Consider the following 17,821-nt stretch of genomic DNA (forward strand, 5'->3'; position numbering starts at 1 on the left):
AGCCAGACCATATCAGTGGCTGTCAAAGAGGGGCCATTCCTCTCAAACTTTGGTTACTCCTAGGATGTCTCCAGTTACTAATGTACCATGGAACATGTGTTTTGCAAAAGGAATTGGTGTTAGAATGAGATGGACTTATGCCCTGGTAACAGCTATGAAATCTCAGTGGCTGCACAAGAAAGGTTTATTTGTTGTTCACATTACATGTCCAGCACAGGCCAAGCAGGCCAGGGCACTCAGCTCAAGGTGCCCACTGGAGCAGCTAGGCTAGAAGAGACCCTGAGAACTTCACCTGAGAGCTTCTCATTGCCTGGCCTGTCTCTTCTCACATTTCATTGGACAGAGCTAGTCACATGGCCCCACCTACCTATCCCTACACTCAGGAAGGAAAGCAGAACTGGATATGGTGAGGTTGGTAACCTCAACTTCAACAGTCTATTCAAATGCCAGTTTTGCACTTTGTTGGCTCTTTGACTTTTATCCATAAAATAAGGGTGGGTAGTCTTTAAAGCTTCTGGCAGAGACAGAAATGCTCACTGAACATTTCAAGTTACTTCCCATGTTCCCCAGGCCTCTTAAAGTCAGTAGGAGCCATGTGACTAATTTTGGCCAATGAGATGTGAGGAGAAATGAAGTGAGTCACCCTGAGCCAAGGCAGTTAGAGGCCTAGGCTTGGTTCTCCAGTTCCTTTCTCCTCTCCTGCCTGGTGACTGAGGAGGATGCATGTTCCAGATGTTGAGGCCATAAGATGGTAGAGCCTCTGTCCCCCAGGCTCCGGATGGCTGTGTGGAGGAGAGACACCTTTTCATCTGAGTAACATATATAGTGTAGGTGAGAAGAAGTAAGCTGTGTTGTGTCAGGCCCTGGGGATGTTGAGGTTGTTTCTGCAGTGTTAAGCCTAGATTTTTCCTGGCTGATACAGGTCTTTCTAATCCTCGATTTTCTGTAATTTGACAAGGGTTTTCTTATTCTCTCACAAGCAAATATGCATTCCTTAGGATGAAAGTGGGATTTTTCAAAAGAACATCCAACTCTGTCAGGGATTGAATACATTATGAAACAAGCTTGTGTCTAACTGCAGTGTGGGGTGACCATGGGGATGACATTGCCAAGACTTAGATCAAGATCAGAGCAAAGTCTAGGCAAATGCAGACCAGTGATGAAAGCTTTAAAGAATGCAAAAAGTATTTACTAAATCAGGATGTTTCAACAGGGACCCATTCAGAAAAATACATGGAAAGGAGACAGGAGGAAAATAGGCTAAGGAGAGAAATATCACCCATGATTGAATCTCTCACAGCTGTTTAAATTCTATATTCAGGTGCCCAAAACACTGCTCATGATATCTGCCAATGGATAACAGTATCATACAGTATCAAAATTAAAAGCAGAAATAACTATCTTCAAGGTACATATAATCTAAGGCAAAAAAAAAAAAAAATCCTGATGTGGCTTTTGCCCAAAATGCTTAGAGTGTCTTCAACTATGATACAGTCTGGGCTCTTTGTGCTCTTCAGACCTAAGCCTTTATTCTAGAGTCTTACAGACCTGAGGTCATTCTACTTATGCTATTCTCCTCTTTGAGCTCAAGGCTCTAATGAGTTTTACATCTCGGCTTTGTTACAGAGGAGCTCCAAATAGTCTCAAACTAACTCTCCATTCTTCCTATTTAGGACTCTTCAACATGATGTAGAACAAGATTCTGACCAGCTTGATAGCAGTGGGATGTTTCACTGGTGCAAACCAACCTCTTTGGACAAGGTGACTCTGGTAGGTGATCTTGCATCATCAAATCTCAAATAAGATAAAGCATTTCGTAGGGTAAGTGATGTTCTTGTTAGTCATAAGCACCTGTCACTTCCCTTTGTAAACTGTGAATTTGTCAAAAAAAGAAAAAAACCCACATCCCTCACCAGCCATAAGAATAATATGCAAAGTAACACATGAGGCATTTGACAAAGCCTACATGAGTAATATGCTGGAATTTCAAACAATTATATGTCTTCAACTATTTCCTCTCTCCTTTGACAGTTTAGCTGACTCAGTTATTCAGAATAATGTTCTCCTGAAGTTTTGCTGTTTTCCTAGTAAATCTAATTAATTTAAATGCACCAGGGAAACCTACTGTTTACAAGGACTCTGCAGTCTTTTTTTTTTTTTTAAGTAAATAAGCACTTTTCTAATGTATTGGTTTTGAAATTCGGATTTTTCTGTAGTGGTTTTTCTTAAAGCTGGCTCTACTTAGATTTAACACATTAGCCACAAATATGCCTCCTAAACACTCCGTACAACCGGGGTGAATCTTTGTAGATATTACAGTCATGTCCTTGTCTCTCTTCTCAAAGAGACAAACTAACTCAACTCACAGAAATGCCTGCAACTAAGATGGAAAAAGTCTTGTATCCTAACCCAGGGTCTGGCACCTGCTTTCTAGATGCCCACCTACTGTAATTTTCTGGAGTTGGAAACTCAAGTATAATCTTAGTGGTTTACCTTACAAGTAGTAGCTGATAAATTTAACTAATAAAAATGATTGCTTGCATGCTGTATGAACCCTATATATATTTTTTCATATATGACTAATTGATACTTATATATATTTTCTTGCTTTCCAAAAGTAGTTTAGTTCACTTTTTTTGATAGATGCACAAATGCATACATACACATCTTTGTGGCTCAGTGCCAGTGTCCTGACAGAATATATTTCAACTTTTGTAAAAGCATGATCCATCATTTGATCAGAAACACGAAACTGTCAGAGCTGTCATACCAACTGGAAGACTATTAGGGTTGCTGAAACTCACCATTTTAGCAATTATGTCTTATTCTGAACTGTACGAAATAAACATCCGTTGAGCAGGAAGCCAAACATATTTTCAGTGGGAGGCAAATCTTTAGAAAGGTCAGGAAGTTGGTTGCAGATTGAGACATTTGAGACCAAACGATGGAAATAGCAGAAGTTTTATTAGATCATATTTATTAAGAATGCAGACAGGTTGCCATGATTGATATTTCCCTTATGATACTTGATATGGAATATAGTTCAGAATACCAACCAGGTCTTTTGTTAAGTTTAGGATGCCTTCTAGCTTTAAAATTGCTAAGGAATTTGAAATGTGAGCCTCTAGGAAAGAAATATCTGGATTGCAAAATTCGGGGTATCTTTAAACTTGGTTTCATTTGCAAAAGGGTCAAGTAGAAATGATCAATTTAAGTTATTTTGAACAAATAGGACATCCTCCCCTTCTTCCAATAGTCACCATCTTTCTTAATCAGGAGACAGTTTAGTGCCACAGTTTCTTGGAGAAATTGCCTCTCTAGCTGTGCCCATTAATGCACTTGGCCATGTATCTTGTTTCTAATTGTTTAGTTCTACTCAGAAAAGCAATTGTTGGACTTTAGACATGTTACATTAAATACCGTTAGAGGCTTCATTATTCAAGTTAAAACTAATCGGATTAGCTAGAGACAATTATTTAATAGATTTGGTTAAGATTCATATCACTCTAGGAAGGCTCTCCAGACAAGTAGCTTTATTTCCCCTCGCAGGGAGATCTCTCTTGGAAGGAGGGTACAGTACAGTATTTCCCAGTATATGCTAATTTGGTAAACTTTAATTGTTGAAATGTCAGATGTTACTTATTTATCCTGTTAGACTTCATCAATGCCTGTTTCATAGAAGATTGCCATTTAACCCAGCAAAGGACTGGCATAAAGAAGAATGATATATCCATTTGAAGTATTCTGAGTCTTTGTGTGTCTAGGAATGCAGGGAATGCTCATGCTGCAAATTAAACTTACTCTGTACCAGCTTCTAAATGTCCTCCTTTGAAAATATAGAAATTCAATAACTTTTAGATTTGATTGATAGTTATTGAACAACTTTTAGTGAGTTAAGAAATAAACATTTTGAATATATTATGTCCTACAACAAAATTAACTCTTTGGTTTTTTTTTCCATTTTAAACATAAAGAAATTGAGAACCAGAGAGGTTAAGTAATTTGCTCAGTCATATAGCTAACAATAGTACCAGAATACAAAATCATGTCTTCTGACTCCGAGTCCAGGGTTTTTTCTGTTACATCCCAGTGCTGTTAAGAGGAGACATTAGCCATACTCTGAAAGAAACCACACATAGGCTTACAATAAGTTTCCCACAGGAATATCATTCTTTAAAAGTTACATTTATTGTTTTTATGAGTCTCTATGACTGTGGGAGAAACTTAAGTATATTCCATGCATATTCTTTTGTTTTCAACTTGGAGACACAGGGGCATTGTTAACAATTGGCAATGCTGATAGTAGTATGAGACATATTCAAATGTTTGAGATCAAATGAAATTTTTTTTATTATACTTTAAGTTCTATGGTACATGTGCACAATGTGCAGGTTTGTTACATATGTACATATGTGCCATGTTGGTGTGCTGCACCCATTAACTTGTCATTTACATTAGGTATATCTCCTAATGCTATCCCTCCCCCCTCCCCCCACCCCACGACATGGATGAACCTGGAGACCATCATTCTGAGAAAACTATCGCAAGGACAGACAATCAAACACCGCATATTCTCACTCATAGGTGGGAACTGAACAATGAGAACACTTGGACACAGGATGGGGAAATTAAATTTTTATAATATTTCTTTTTCTTGTATGCACTTTGCGTGATGAATTTCCTTGATGCAGGAGTCTATAGAATCAGTTCAGTATATTCAATTGAACCATATGAAATTGCCATTGTTCAACCATTTTTGACCCATAAAAAGGTAAATTCATGTGGTTCAAACTAATGAATGAAAACCCACTTAATACTGCAATATGTTATACAGCTTGCTGTAATTTTCAGGACTCACTAGAAGACATAATTTAGCATTGAATCTGGAATGTCTTAGGCTTTCACTGAATTTTACTATGGCACATACAAGGCTAAAAATGTGAAATAAAAATCAAGAAATACTTTCTCCATTTGGTCTAATGATTTCACACCCTGAGGAATGATGCTAATCTGAGTTTTAGTTGATGCATTCCAAGCTAATAGAAAACTAGAAAGAAAGTGAAATAAAAAGAAATTCCACAAAAAAGTAAAAGGTGTAATTGCACCACTTGTGCATGAGTTCTGTTTTTTATAAACAATTTGCAAAATTCTATTCACCTTATGAAAGTAGAGCTGTGGATGTACCTAGAAGAATTGGGAGGAGAAGAGGGGGCCTACTTGGAGGGATTCTCATCTTGCTTATGAAAATGACCAGACTGTGGCATCCTTATCCTTAGAAACGAACTGGCAAGTCAAAGTATAAGTTTCGGAACCATATTGTAGCATGTGTATTTGGAGATGCCCACTCAGCCCCGATGGGGCTTCGGAACTTTGTAATGCCCTTGAGAGCCAGCAACTATACCAGGAAGGAGCTGAAGGACATAGTGTTCATTGGGTCTCTGGACTATCTACAGAGAGAATGGCGATTTCTCTGGAATTTTCCCCAGATATACATTCTGCCTGTAAGTATCATATAAGGAAAAGTTAATATTTATAAGGATTTCAATATTAATAGGACTAGAATTAATAATGATAATATTGCAGTTCTACAGTCCTTGCCAGATGCCAGAAACTGTTCTAAATATTTTACCTATATTAATTCACTTAATCTCAAAACCACCCTATGGGGTAGATATTAAATTTATTGAACTTTAAGCACCGGAAGAGTAAGTAACTTGACCAAGATTGTACAGCCAGTAAGTAACTAACAAAATTAAGATTTAAATCCAGATGTTGTGGCTCTTGAGTTAATGCTCGAATCACCATGTTTTACGGTCTTTGTACAAATAAGAGTTTCTCTGCATTTCTGAGTCAGATTATAATTTAATGGCTACACCTAAGCTAATACTGGCCAGCATTTGTGCTCTAGCTTTTTCATCTTTTCTGGAGACATTTTATATGGACCATATAATGCCACATGGTCCCTGATAGCTGTATGGAGAGGAGGGATTTTACTTATGTGGTATGGCGGTTGCAACTATATTTTTCCTGAACTTGCATAGATCTATGTCCCACTCTATGCCACCATTTCACTGGTTGAGGAGTCCATTATGTACACTGTGAAATGCACCAAAGCATTTCATTTTCATGAGATACGCACCAAAGCATTTTCATAATGCTGGCAATATATTTGCAAGTAATGGCAAAAACCGTGGTTACTTTTGCACCAACCTAATGTAAGGAATATTTTTCAAATTTCAAAAATAATTATCTCAAGAAGCAAATTGCATTTGCTTTTTTAAAAAGCCACTGTAAGTTTCCCTGTACTACCGCTCCTGCTTAAGTCCATTGAAAGGAAGAAAATAAGAGCAAATCTGATCCAGCTAGTGTTAGGAATTACCACTATATTAGACTCCAACCTACCGGAAGACAGTACCAGATTGATCTCTGTTTTTCCACCAAAGAAAGAAGCGACTGCCACTTTGCTAGTTAACCCAGAGAGTATAAGTAGGGCCAGCTGTTTGTACTAGCAATATTGTGAGGATGCACATTTTGCCTCTAGATCCATAACCTCTCTTTTCTCTGAATTTTTTTCCTCATCACTGTTACCCTGACCCTACTCTCTTCTTCCACCTGAGTCAGTGGCACGGACTTACGTTCCTCCCTCCCCACTCTCCTCTGTCTCATCCAAACTTGCTTTCAGGAAAGAATCTATGAAATGTATTCACACTAAAATATTAATGTTTGATAAGGTTAAATGTGTCAGATATGAGGTAACTAAGTTTTAAAATCAAGTCAGCAAAGGTTGGAGCTCAAAGCTCAAAAATTACATCACTCACAAAGAGCCACCACCATGAGCCATGATATAACATCCCTCCATCCGACCAGTGCCTCCTCTCTCTTTTCCTCTCATTAGGGATGTGCACTTTATTCTGGAGACCTCCATGCGGCCAACATAGAGCAATGCTCCATGTGTGCTGTCTTGTCCCCCCCACCCCAGCCATCAAGCAACCAGACTTTGGTAGACACAGAAGCCATCATGGCAACCCTCACCATCGGATCCTTGCAAATTGACTCCTCCTCTGACCCGTCACCCTCAGTGTCAGGTGAGAACAGCACCCCTGAAAAGAAGAAACTAGGACGTATGGAAAAAAAGAGATAATTAACTCCTCTTTGAAGTATTTTAATTATGGGGAGCAGGAGGGTGGGCCAGATGTCCTCTGAGGTCCCTTCCAATCCTGAGAATCCCATAGTAGAAATAGCCCACAGTTCAGTGCCCTGGAATTCTAAGTCAAATGGATGATGGTGTGCATCTTCTAAATGGAATGCACTTAACGCAGTTTTTTTAATTTTTAAGGAAAAAATAACATAATTTTGAAGTGTTATCATTTTTGTTGTTATGATCAGTGAACATAGCATGTGGTATATTATTTTAATTAATGAGGTACCACTATAGTTATTATTATGATGAAATTCTCATTGGATCTTATAGATCTAATGCAATCAAGGTCAAATTGTTAGTTTTGTGGTTGAGAGAATGAACCATGATTCTCTTTTACTTTTTGAGATGATTTCAGTATATGAATTTTAGAAGACTAAGATCTTTTCTAACAGCTATAGACTAAAACTGTCATACTTCAACTTCAGACTAGAAGGAGATGGTGAGGGAGATGCAAGGGTCTTTCCAGGATGGGGATCATGTCTCTTTTCCCTTTGTGTTTCTCTCAGTGCCTATTGCAATTACTGTCATTCGGTTGATGTTTAACAAATACTTGTTGAATTGCAGCAAATGAGCTGTGACACCTGAGGAGCTTCCACACATTTCTCTATGCTCAAAATGTGCCTATGGTCAATTCCCATGACAGAATTGTGATTTTCCTTCTCCCTCAAAAAGGGAAAAAGCTTATACATTAGTCTATTTCTAAAAATTGACTACCATCCCCTCAATCTAATCTAAAAGTACTATTACTGAAGAATTTTCTGTATCTAAAACAGATTTCCAATTCTAGAAATAAAAGTAAGTCATGACTGGAATCCCCTGGATCAAGCTATGTTCCTTGGGGACAATTGATTCTCTGTATCAAGATCAGGTACTCAATCCTTGGGCCATGCAGCCTCTGACCACAGCTGTCCCACTTTGCATGGCACTTGAAGAGGTTAGCATTTAAGGCATTGCAAGGCTTTTCATGATAATGGCTGTCGATAACAATGTTCGTGATTGAAACTGGGAAACCAAAAATCTCTCTCTGACTCCTAGACACTGTTGCTATGCAAGAAAATATAAGGTTATTGGCACAAAGGAATAAAACAGTAATCTAATCTTTGGAGGGCAAACTGAGTCAGCTATTAGACAGACCTTCACTAAGCAACCAATCCTGACCCAGAGACTAGGGTTTCAGGGTGTTTTCCAAAGCAGAGCTAATAACAAGGCACTTCATGAATATCAAAGTGCCATGAACAGCCAGACTTAGGAGGGGTGAGCCCTACCTCTGCTGAGCAAATCTGAATATTCATAAAAGTGCTGTTTTGTTCTGCCATAGGAATCCTTAGCTTAGCAATTAGGGTCACTCCTTGGATTCACTCATCATTTGTGTGTGTGTGTGTGTGTGTGCATGTGCATGCTTGTAACTGTCCATAATTGGACAAAGAAGAAGTATTCATTTTAAAAGCAGTATAGGCAGGGCGCGGTGGCTCACGCCTGTAATCCCAGCACTTTGGGAGGCCGAGGTGGGGGGATCACAAGGTCAGGAGATTGAGATCATTTTGGTCAACACGGTGAAACCATCTCTACTGAAAATACAAAAATTAGCTTGGTGTGGTGGCGCACGCCTGTAATCCCAGCTACTCGGGAGGCTGAGGCATGAAAATCCCTTGAACTCAAGAGGCAGAAGCTGTAGTGAGCTAAGATCGTGCCACTGCACTCCAGTCTGGTGACAGAGCAAAAAAAAAAAAAAAAAAAAAAAAAAGCTTATAAATCCATATACAAATGAAAATGCATGCACAATATAAGCCCAGGATAACTGACAACACCATAAGTCATTTAGTTGATGGTCTAGGTGAATAGTTCTTCCTGTTATTACTATTATTGAAATTTCACCTCCTTTATGGACTAGACAAAACGTAAACCTATGATTATAATTTTAGTTTCCTTTATATCTAGTGATTTTCCTACTTTATTCATTCAATCAACAAAAAAATATTGATTTTTTATGATATGTTGGGTACTCTGTTACAGGCAAGAAGTTTGCCCTTAAAGAAGGAGCTGACTGGTTTTGGGGGAATGAGGTTGAGGAAAGAAGGAAAAAAAATTGGAAAGGCAAAGAGAAAAGGAAGGAATGTCAAAAAAATTGGAAAGGCAAAGAGAAAAGGAAGGAATGCCAAAGTATTTGAATCATTATGAGTATGAGTGTGCTTACTTGAAAAGATGAAAGAAAAGGTTAGAGAAGAATGTGCTAAGTTGGGTTTGTTTGAATGGGATCATACCCATTTGTGTGACGGGGAAATATAGATGCAGATAGGCTCTAAGGACACACCTAATGAAGGCATCAGGTCTGCTTATCTGGCACTGTCACATCAGTGAGGTCACATTTTTTTTTTTTTTTTTTTGAGACGGAGTCTTACTCTGTCACCCAGGCTGGAGTGCGGTGGTGCGATCTTGGCTCACTGCAAGCTCCGCCTCCCAGGTTCATGCCATTCTTCTGGCTCAGCCTCCCAAGTAGCTGGGACTACAGGCACCCGCCACCATGCCTGGCTAATTTTTTGTATTTTTAGTAGAGACGGGGTTTCACCGTGTTAGCCAGGATAGTCTCGATCTCCTGACCTTGTGATCCGTCTGCCTCGGCCTCCCAAAGTGCTGGGATTACAGGCTTGAGCCACCACGCCTGGCCATGAGGTCACATTTTAAGAACATTTTGAGGCAACCTGTGAATAGCAAAGGGCTATTACCCAGAATCTTCCCCAGTTACTCTGGCATCATAAGTCTCTATCTGGAGTTTGTATTAATATTATAGAAATTCCCAATCTTCACAGAAGCCTGTTTGGCTTTCTTAATCATTCTTCTCATTCCATAATAATACTCCTCTTCCACCAAGCATTAAGAGGTAGAACCAGGAATACACACCCCCAAGAACTGAAATTATAAAGGATCATGAGATTCTACCAGGAGGCAGAAAGCATCGTCCACAATCAGCACTAAAATAAGATTTGCTGCTAGGCAGTTTTCTATCCCTTTCACTAGGGGATAGAGTGGTTCTCAACCAGTGGCAATTTATCTCCTGAGGTCACCTTATGATGGCTGGAGGCAGTTTTGATTTTCACCACTGTGGGAATGCTATCACCACTAGTGGGTAGAAGTCAAAGATGCTGCTAAACGTCTTTCAATACACAGGACGGCCTCACACAATTAGAAAATGTCAGCAGTACCAAGGTGGAGAAACTCCGCCCTAACCTATCTGGTGAGGCCTTTGAGGGATCAGTGGGCTTTTCCACATCTTTGTAGTAATGATAAACATAAATGCGAAGCCAAGCTAGGACCATCAAGGCTATTCACTGCAGAAATTCACCAACGGAAATTGGATGAGGCGGGGGGTTTTGGGGGAGCAGCAGAGTGAGGAATCTCTGAAGAATCAGTGAGAATGCCAGGCCTCCTGGACATCTCCATGGGAAATTTTAGGTTTTTCTGTAATACTCTAATTACTGCCCTGTCACATCACAAGGAGAACAGGTTGGCAAACCTAGGTACTGAACTAAATAATCTGTGGCATAATCTAAACATATAACAGTAATTAAGCCTGACAACTTAATATGCTACTGAAATTTAAATGTACCGAAGTAATCTACAATTAAGCAATCTTTTGTAATAGCACCCTGCCAGGCTGGAAGATTTCAGGTATAATACTGTGTACTATTAGGTAACAAAAATATTGACATTAGTAAAATGTACCCAGGCTATGATCTGACACATTCAAATTAACCATTGCTCGAAAAGGAGATGGAGTTAAGGTGGAAATTCAGATGCTGTCCTTCAGCCGGCATCAGAAGCAGATTTTCATACAGCTGCTTCAGCTGATGTGATTGTGTCTGTACCCGATTAGAACACTAGATTCTAAAAGTCAGGATATTTCAAGTCCTTTATTAGCAAAGAACTGGAATCAGAAAGTGGGGTTCAAAGGGGGATTTACCCATAGAGAGGTTTCCCCTTTGAAGAAAACTGATTTCAATATGTTATTGAAAATTCCAGTCAAACCTTGTATATTGTAATAGGGCTACAACTTAAGTAGGTACCCTGAAAAGGGTATGGGCTTTGAAGTTGGTGCTGATCAGGCTGTGAAGCCACTTCCATTATTTACAAGCCTTGTGATCTTGGGCATGGTATGTAAATCCTGGCTGCAGTTTTCTCATCATCAAAGATGATCTCACTATGGGTAACTCACAGAGTACATGTAACAATTATATAATTCTTATCTCTTTACAGTGTCCATTGCTTACAGCAGCCAGAGCTCTTTTACACATATTCATCGGATAATCTCATTTCCTTACTTTAAATTCTACAATGTTGACTCATGGCAATTAAAGGAAAATCTAGGATCTTGCAAGCCAGCAAGGAACTTGGATTCTCCCCTCCTTCACCCTGTTCACACTGGCTATTTCCCACCATGGGTTCTTTATCACAACCCTTCTGCCAGGATGACTTTTCCTTTTTCCTCAGATTCTGTCTCAATGTCAGAGAAGCCCCCCTTTGGGACCTTATCTAAAGTCATGTCTCCAAACTCAATGACTATCCTCTAAAGTTTGGGGTTTTCTCAAACTCATCAATATCTGAAAATATTTTGTATTTGCAACATGTGGTATGTAACTGGGGCGAGGACTGTACATAGTTCTATCATGGAGTAGATATTTTAAAATATTTAAAAAGGAAGAAAGGGAGGGAGGAGGAAAAGAGGAGGAAGGAAGAAAAGGGAAGAAGGAAAAAAGGAAGGAAGAAAAGAAAGAATGGAAAAAGAGAAAAGAATGAAGGAAAGGAAGAAGGGAAAAAGGAAGGGAGAAGAGGGAAAGGGACGAGAGAAAAAAGAACAGGAGGAGAAGAAGGGAAGGAAGGAAGGAAGGAAAGGTGGGAGGGAAGGGAAAGGAAGGGAAAAGAAGGGAGGGGAAAGGAAAGAAGGTAGGAAAGAAGGAAGGAAGGAAGGAAAGGGGAGAGGGAAGGGAAGGAAAGGGAAGGCAAAGAAAGGAAGGAAGGAAGAAACAAAGGAAGGAAAGGAAGGAAGGAAGGAAACAAAAGGAAGAAAGAAAGGAAAGGGGTGAGGGAAGGGAAGGAAAGGGAAGGGAAAGGAAAGGAAGAAAAGAAGGAAGGAAGGAAGGAAGACAGGGAGGAAATGAGGAAGGGGAGAAAGAAAGGAAGGAAAGAGGAAAGGAAAGAAATTAGAAAGGAAAAAGGGAACGAAAGGAGGGAAGGGAATAGAAGAGAAGGGAGAAGAAAAGGAGGGAAAGAGGACACATGAAACAGATAAGGCATCTTAATCTGAGAATAAAATAGAACTTTAATTCCCCCAAGTCTTCCTGCATTATGGAAATTTCAGAGATATTTTTAAGGAAAAACAATTTAAGGTATTTAGATCCCATCAAGAGTAAGAATTATCAGTGAATTATGATCTCTAGCCATCTGTGTAAACCTTCCTCTTTAATAGCTGTGCGAATCCAGTTAGCCCTCTGAGCTTCCATTTCCTCACCAAAAACTGAAAAATTTTGCGAAATTCTGGAGGTCACTGATGGTTCTAGACATAAACCAAATATCTTGGGTTCTTCATGAGGAGCTTCAGTTTTTATCCTACATTCATTACTCAGAAATTTAGTAGAAATCAGAAATATATTCAGCTCTACTCTGCATTAACAAGAAGTGGCTCTTTTCCATCTCAGTAGTGAGGTGGAAAAGGTGTGAAATATTGTAGTACATAGCATTCCCTCTGGAAACAAACCTCTCTTTGGATTTCCCCTTTTCCTTCCTGGTCTCCACCTCAGTGGCTCCATTCCCTGTCATCTTCCCATTGTCTGTTTTTCAGGGGGCCTTAGCACAGAGCTCAACTGCATTCATTCCACTTTTCAGCCCTACCAATTACCCCACTCAGGGAGCAAAGGACCTTCCAAAGATTTCACTCTCTTCTAAGCAGCAGGGAATCTTAATTACAAGTAGATCTTGAAGGTTTACAATATTTTTTTCCTCTTACATCCTCAGAAAACTTTAAGAAAGTAAACAACAGTTGTAAGCACAACTTACAATGCCATTATGGTGTGTTTTTCTTTTTCTTTTTCATGGCACCCTATTTTCCCATTTTCCCCACCAACTTCTTTTTTTTTTTTTAAGCTAGGATCTCGGTCTGTCACCCAAGTTGGAGTGCAATAGCGTGATGGCGGCTCACCGTAAGCTCTGAACTCCTGGGCTCAAGCGACCCTCTCACCTCAGCCTCCTAGGTAGCTGGGATTTCAGCTCTGCACTGCTACACCCAGCTAATTTTTTTTTTTTAATTTTTGTAGAGAACAGGTCTCTCTATGTTGCCCAGGATTGTCCTGAACTCCTAGACTCAAGCAGTCCTCACATGTCAGCCTCCCAAAGTGTTGAGATTATAGGTGTGAGCCACTGCACCCAACCTTCTATTCCATTTCTTTCCTCTTACATTTTTAGTTTAAGTTGGAGACTAAACCTCTGATGTCATACTTCTTTTTGAAACTCACCACATGATAAAGCTGTATCAGGCCAGTGCTGTGCATGCCCTGTTTTGGGGTCGAGTCTCACAGAGGTTACTGCAGTGCCTTATCTCCGAAGACAGGAGGGAAATGTGTCTACAACCTGAGCACAGAGGTCAAGGGCTCTCTGAGTGACATCCCAGCTCAGGCTTTAAGAAACCCCACAGCCTTCCATATGGAGACAGGCAGGCAGCCAGTTCTGCAGAGACAACAGCAGTGCCTCAGCCCAGTGAGGAGCTCAAAGAGGCAGAGAATACCTGGAGCCAGCAGCCACTTGCAATGTGTCCTAAAGCACTCATGGGGACAGCACCACCCATATATTTGCAGTTTCCGAAAAATACTACAGGCAAATTGATGTGGTTTGAGCTACTGCCTGACTGAATTGTTACCTAGCACAGCCACTCAGTGGAGAGTAAGCATATCTTAATTGTGACATCAATAAGCAACTACTGGGAGAGCTTTGCCTTTTTTGTAAGTCATTTGAAGTGCCATTGAGAAAGAATAGACATAGCCAGGCACGATGGCTCATAGCTGTAATCCCAGCACTTCAGGAAGCAAAGAAAGGAGGATTACTTGAGGCTGGGAGTTTGCAAGCAGCCTGGGCAACATAGCAAGACCCCATCTCTGCAAAGATAAAAATAAAAAAAAAAATAAATTAGCTGGGTATGGAGGCATGTGCCAGAAGTCCTAGCTACTCAGGAGGCTGAGGCAGCAGGATCACTTGAGCTCAGGAGTTGGAGCCTGCAGTGAGCTCTGATGGCACCACTGTACTCCAATCTCGGTGATGGAGCAAGACCCTGTTTCAAAAAAGGAAAAAAGAAAAAAGAAAAGAAGAAAGACCCCCCCACCACACACACACACATACACACTCCCCTCCCCACATTTATCTAAAGGAGATGCTGAGGAGACCCACATAACAATTTTTTGTCTAAACATAGTAAAGGATTTGGGATTTATACATGAAAGTAACTTTGCTAAGATAAAGCACCAAGTTACATTATATTCTTCTACATTTTTGACAAGTTTTGTAAGGCATTGTGTTTGCATTTATCACCTCTTTTCTTCTTTGCAGAGGAGACTCCAGGTTACACAAATGGACATAATGAGAAATCAAACTGCCGAAAAGTCCCTATCCTTACTGAACTGAGTAAGTGGTGTTTCGAGGGGAAAATTCAATGGAGAAATTTTTGTGATATATAATTTATGTTCCAAGGATCTTTTTAGAATGCACAATCACAGGACTCAGGAACCAGAATGGGGCTCAGAGCTTTAAGTGCTTGCCCGGATGTTACACTGGGCTTTGATCCAACTGGGGACATCGGTATATCTGGTGTCAGGGTTCAGAAATGACATCTGCCTTCTCCACTCTTTTAGTTACCAGCAGAGGGAGGGGGACCAGCAACTAGCTTAGTCTTATTCAGAGGGAGGGGCCATCGATATGAAGACTGCTAGAAAGAATCTCCCTGTACTGACTAGTCAAACCCATCACAGGACTTCGGGTCAGATGCCTTCCTTTCCAGCAGTGACACCAGGGCTGGGGCCAGGGTAAGGCAGGAGAGGCATGTGGGGTACAGACTTAGAGGAGGTGCTCACCCTTGGTGTCTCCAAATTTTGTGTCCCATGTATTTCCCCCCGTCACCTTAATCCAAGCCCTGAGTGATACTTTCCTAAAATAGGCAAAAAAAAAAAAAAAAAACTCTCGAAGAATTAACAGAATATGCTGTTATCTGTCACCAACACCTGTACAAAACTTCCCTAGGCACGAGGAGCTGTGGGAACAGAAGACAAGGGAGGGAAGGCAAGGAAGGGTGCCCAAGTGCCTTTGGTGGGGTGCATTGCTGGGGCACCAGGGGACGCATTGCGTCTGTATTCAACTATACTGAGTATAGTCGAAGGGAAAAGGAGAAAATCCCAGGCAAGAGGAGAACGGTGCCACTAGCGCAGATTGAACCAATTCAGAGATGATCTCTAAAAACTGGTCCTGGCTGTGACTTGACCTGATTTTACTAACCAGAAAAATGCATAATGGGCATTTTATGAGCAAGATTACCAAAACCACTGGGATTTATCCCAAATTAGGTGAACATCTAGAAATCTTAGTCCTGCAAACAAAGCAGGGGAACTTAGAGAGGAATCAGTAGGTGTCACTGCCACTTGAGCTGGGAGTGACAGTGTAGCAGGTGAGAGGTGAGGCACTGCCTCATTGCTACCTAGCTTTCCTGACCATTTTGTGGAGCAGAGGCTGTTGAAGTTCAGCTCTGAAGATCCTAGACCCCTGGATCCTAGTACCTGCCTGCCTATTTGGAACCACCTTGAAGCTGTCTGCTGCAGTTTTTAATTATATTTTACTTTTTTCCTCCCCTTTGAACCATCTCTAACTCCTGAGCTGTACACAGTTGGTTCTCTGTATCTGTGAGGCATTGGTTCCATAACTCACTCACTCTCCACTCCTCCCCTGGCTCTACTTCCTGCAGACACCAAAATCCATGATGCTCAAGTCCTTTATATAAAATGGTGTAGTACTGTCAACCCTCAGTATCCATGGGTTTCCATTCAAGAATTCAATTAGTTGAATTCTTGAATGCAAAACATGTGGAAATGGAGGGCCAACTGTATACACCAAACGAATTAATTCAAAGAAGAGTGTAAGTTAGAGTGGTTGCGAAGAAATCAGCCAGTTTCTCACTGACCCAGAGGTGCATCTGATCACTCTCCAGGGACTTACAGTCTTTGTTTCTGGCACCATGTAGCCCTTGTCAAGTTAGCCTAACAACCTACCTGCCAGCTTGTCCAGGTTCTTGTTGTCTGGCTGGCTGGAAAGGGTCATGTTGATGTGGGAGTTGCAGGTCTGTACCACTTTGGTACAGAATGGATGGGGATCTGAAGGAAATGGCCAGGAAAGCTGAGGCCACTAGTTTAGGATGATACAGCAGAATTTGGACAAAGGCTCATGGGATATTTGTGTGTGTGTGTGCGTGCGCGCACGTGCGCATGTGTGTGTGTGGAGGGCTCACAATGCAGGGAGAGAAATGTAGAAGTGCACAGGAGATGTGGATTGATATTAGTCATACCTTGCTCATCTTTTATGAAAATAAAGCTGTTCTCAGAAGAAAATGATTCATTAATATCACTTCATTCATTAATGTCACTTCCCCTAAACATACTGAGGAATAATTTAAGGCATTAGGGGATAATCCAGTCATAGCAAGCAATGGATTCTGAGTTGCTTGTCCAGCAGATTTGTTTGGATTGGTCATTTCAAGAACTGTAATGTCAAGAACTGTGGAGAGTCTAAGGCTATCCTATTTGCAAACCAACAAGTGCACCTACCCCAGTCTCATGGATGCTGGCAGAAGATATAAGACTCCTGGATCAGAGACCAAAACAAAACAAAACAAAACCAATCAGTTTATTACTCAGAGCAATAACAGCAGCCACAGTATCCTCATTTTTGTGTTGGTTGCTCAAGCCCTGCTTTCCACCAGGTGACATGAAGAGGGCCAAGTGACACCTGTACCCACAGTGGATTGCTCTTTAGGATAGGAACCTGAGCTCAGGAAACCAGAGTCTTTTAAAACAGGCAGTAAGCATGCCTTCCCTTTGCTCCTATGGGAGACACCATCTCTATCTTCCAATGCTGTTCTTAAGACAAACGTTCTTGAAAGAAGATTCTAGAAACAAACTTTGGGAGGCTGAGGCGGGTGGATCATTTGAAGTCAAGAGTTTGAGACCAGCCTGGCCAACATGGTGAAGCCCTATCTCTACTAAAAATACAAAAATTAGCCGGACATGGTGGTACATGCCTGTAATTCCAGCTACTTGGGAGGCTGAGGCATGAGAATTGCTTGAACCCAGAAGGCAGAGGTTGCAGTGACTGCACCACTGGGCAGCCTGGGCGATGAAGTGAGGAAAAAAAAAAAAAAAAAAAAAGAAGAGTCTAGGAACAAAGGCAGCCTGTGCATCTCTTCTCACGGACCACAGTGACCAGCGGTATTCACCTCAGAGGCTGCCTACCAGGGTCTGAGTTGGAGCCTGGGGCCAGTATAGACATGCTGATGGATAATTTGGCTACTGCTGTACTGGCCTCAGTTAGGATGATTCCCTA

At 40.9% G+C, this 17,821-nt stretch overlaps 1 protein-coding gene and 1 long non-coding RNA gene across 8 annotated transcripts in view; one reads left to right on the top strand and one right to left on the bottom strand.

Moving 5' to 3' along the window:
- Window positions 1–17,821, top strand: part of KCNU1 (potassium calcium-activated channel subfamily U member 1) — a 151,752-nt gene that overhangs the window by 119,661 nt on the left and 14,270 nt on the right. For 5 of the 7 annotated variants that reach the window (NR_134267.2, NM_001031836.3, XM_011544426.3 and 2 more), the window contains 4 exons: window positions 1,674–1,770; window positions 5,277–5,501; window positions 6,896–7,085; window positions 14,789–14,863. Coding sequence is in view for 6 of the 7 variants with exons in the window: in NM_001031836.3 (NP_001027006.2) it covers window positions 1,674–1,770; window positions 5,277–5,501; window positions 6,896–7,085; window positions 14,789–14,863 (587 nt within the window). In the remaining variant the exon portion in view is untranslated. The remainder of the gene's footprint in view (window positions 1–1,673; window positions 1,771–5,276; window positions 5,502–6,895; window positions 7,086–14,788; window positions 14,864–17,821) is intronic. The other 2 variants (XM_017013144.3, XM_011544427.3) reach the window with 2 other exon arrangements.
- Window positions 1–17,821, bottom strand: part of LOC105379375 (uncharacterized) — a 43,292-nt gene that overhangs the window by 22,119 nt on the left and 3,352 nt on the right. The window lies entirely within an intron of this gene.

This window comes from Homo sapiens, chromosome 8 (genome assembly GCF_000001405.40).
Source record: "Homo sapiens chromosome 8, GRCh38.p14 Primary Assembly".
Taxonomy (NCBI): Eukaryota; Metazoa; Chordata; class Mammalia; order Primates; family Hominidae; genus Homo; species Homo sapiens.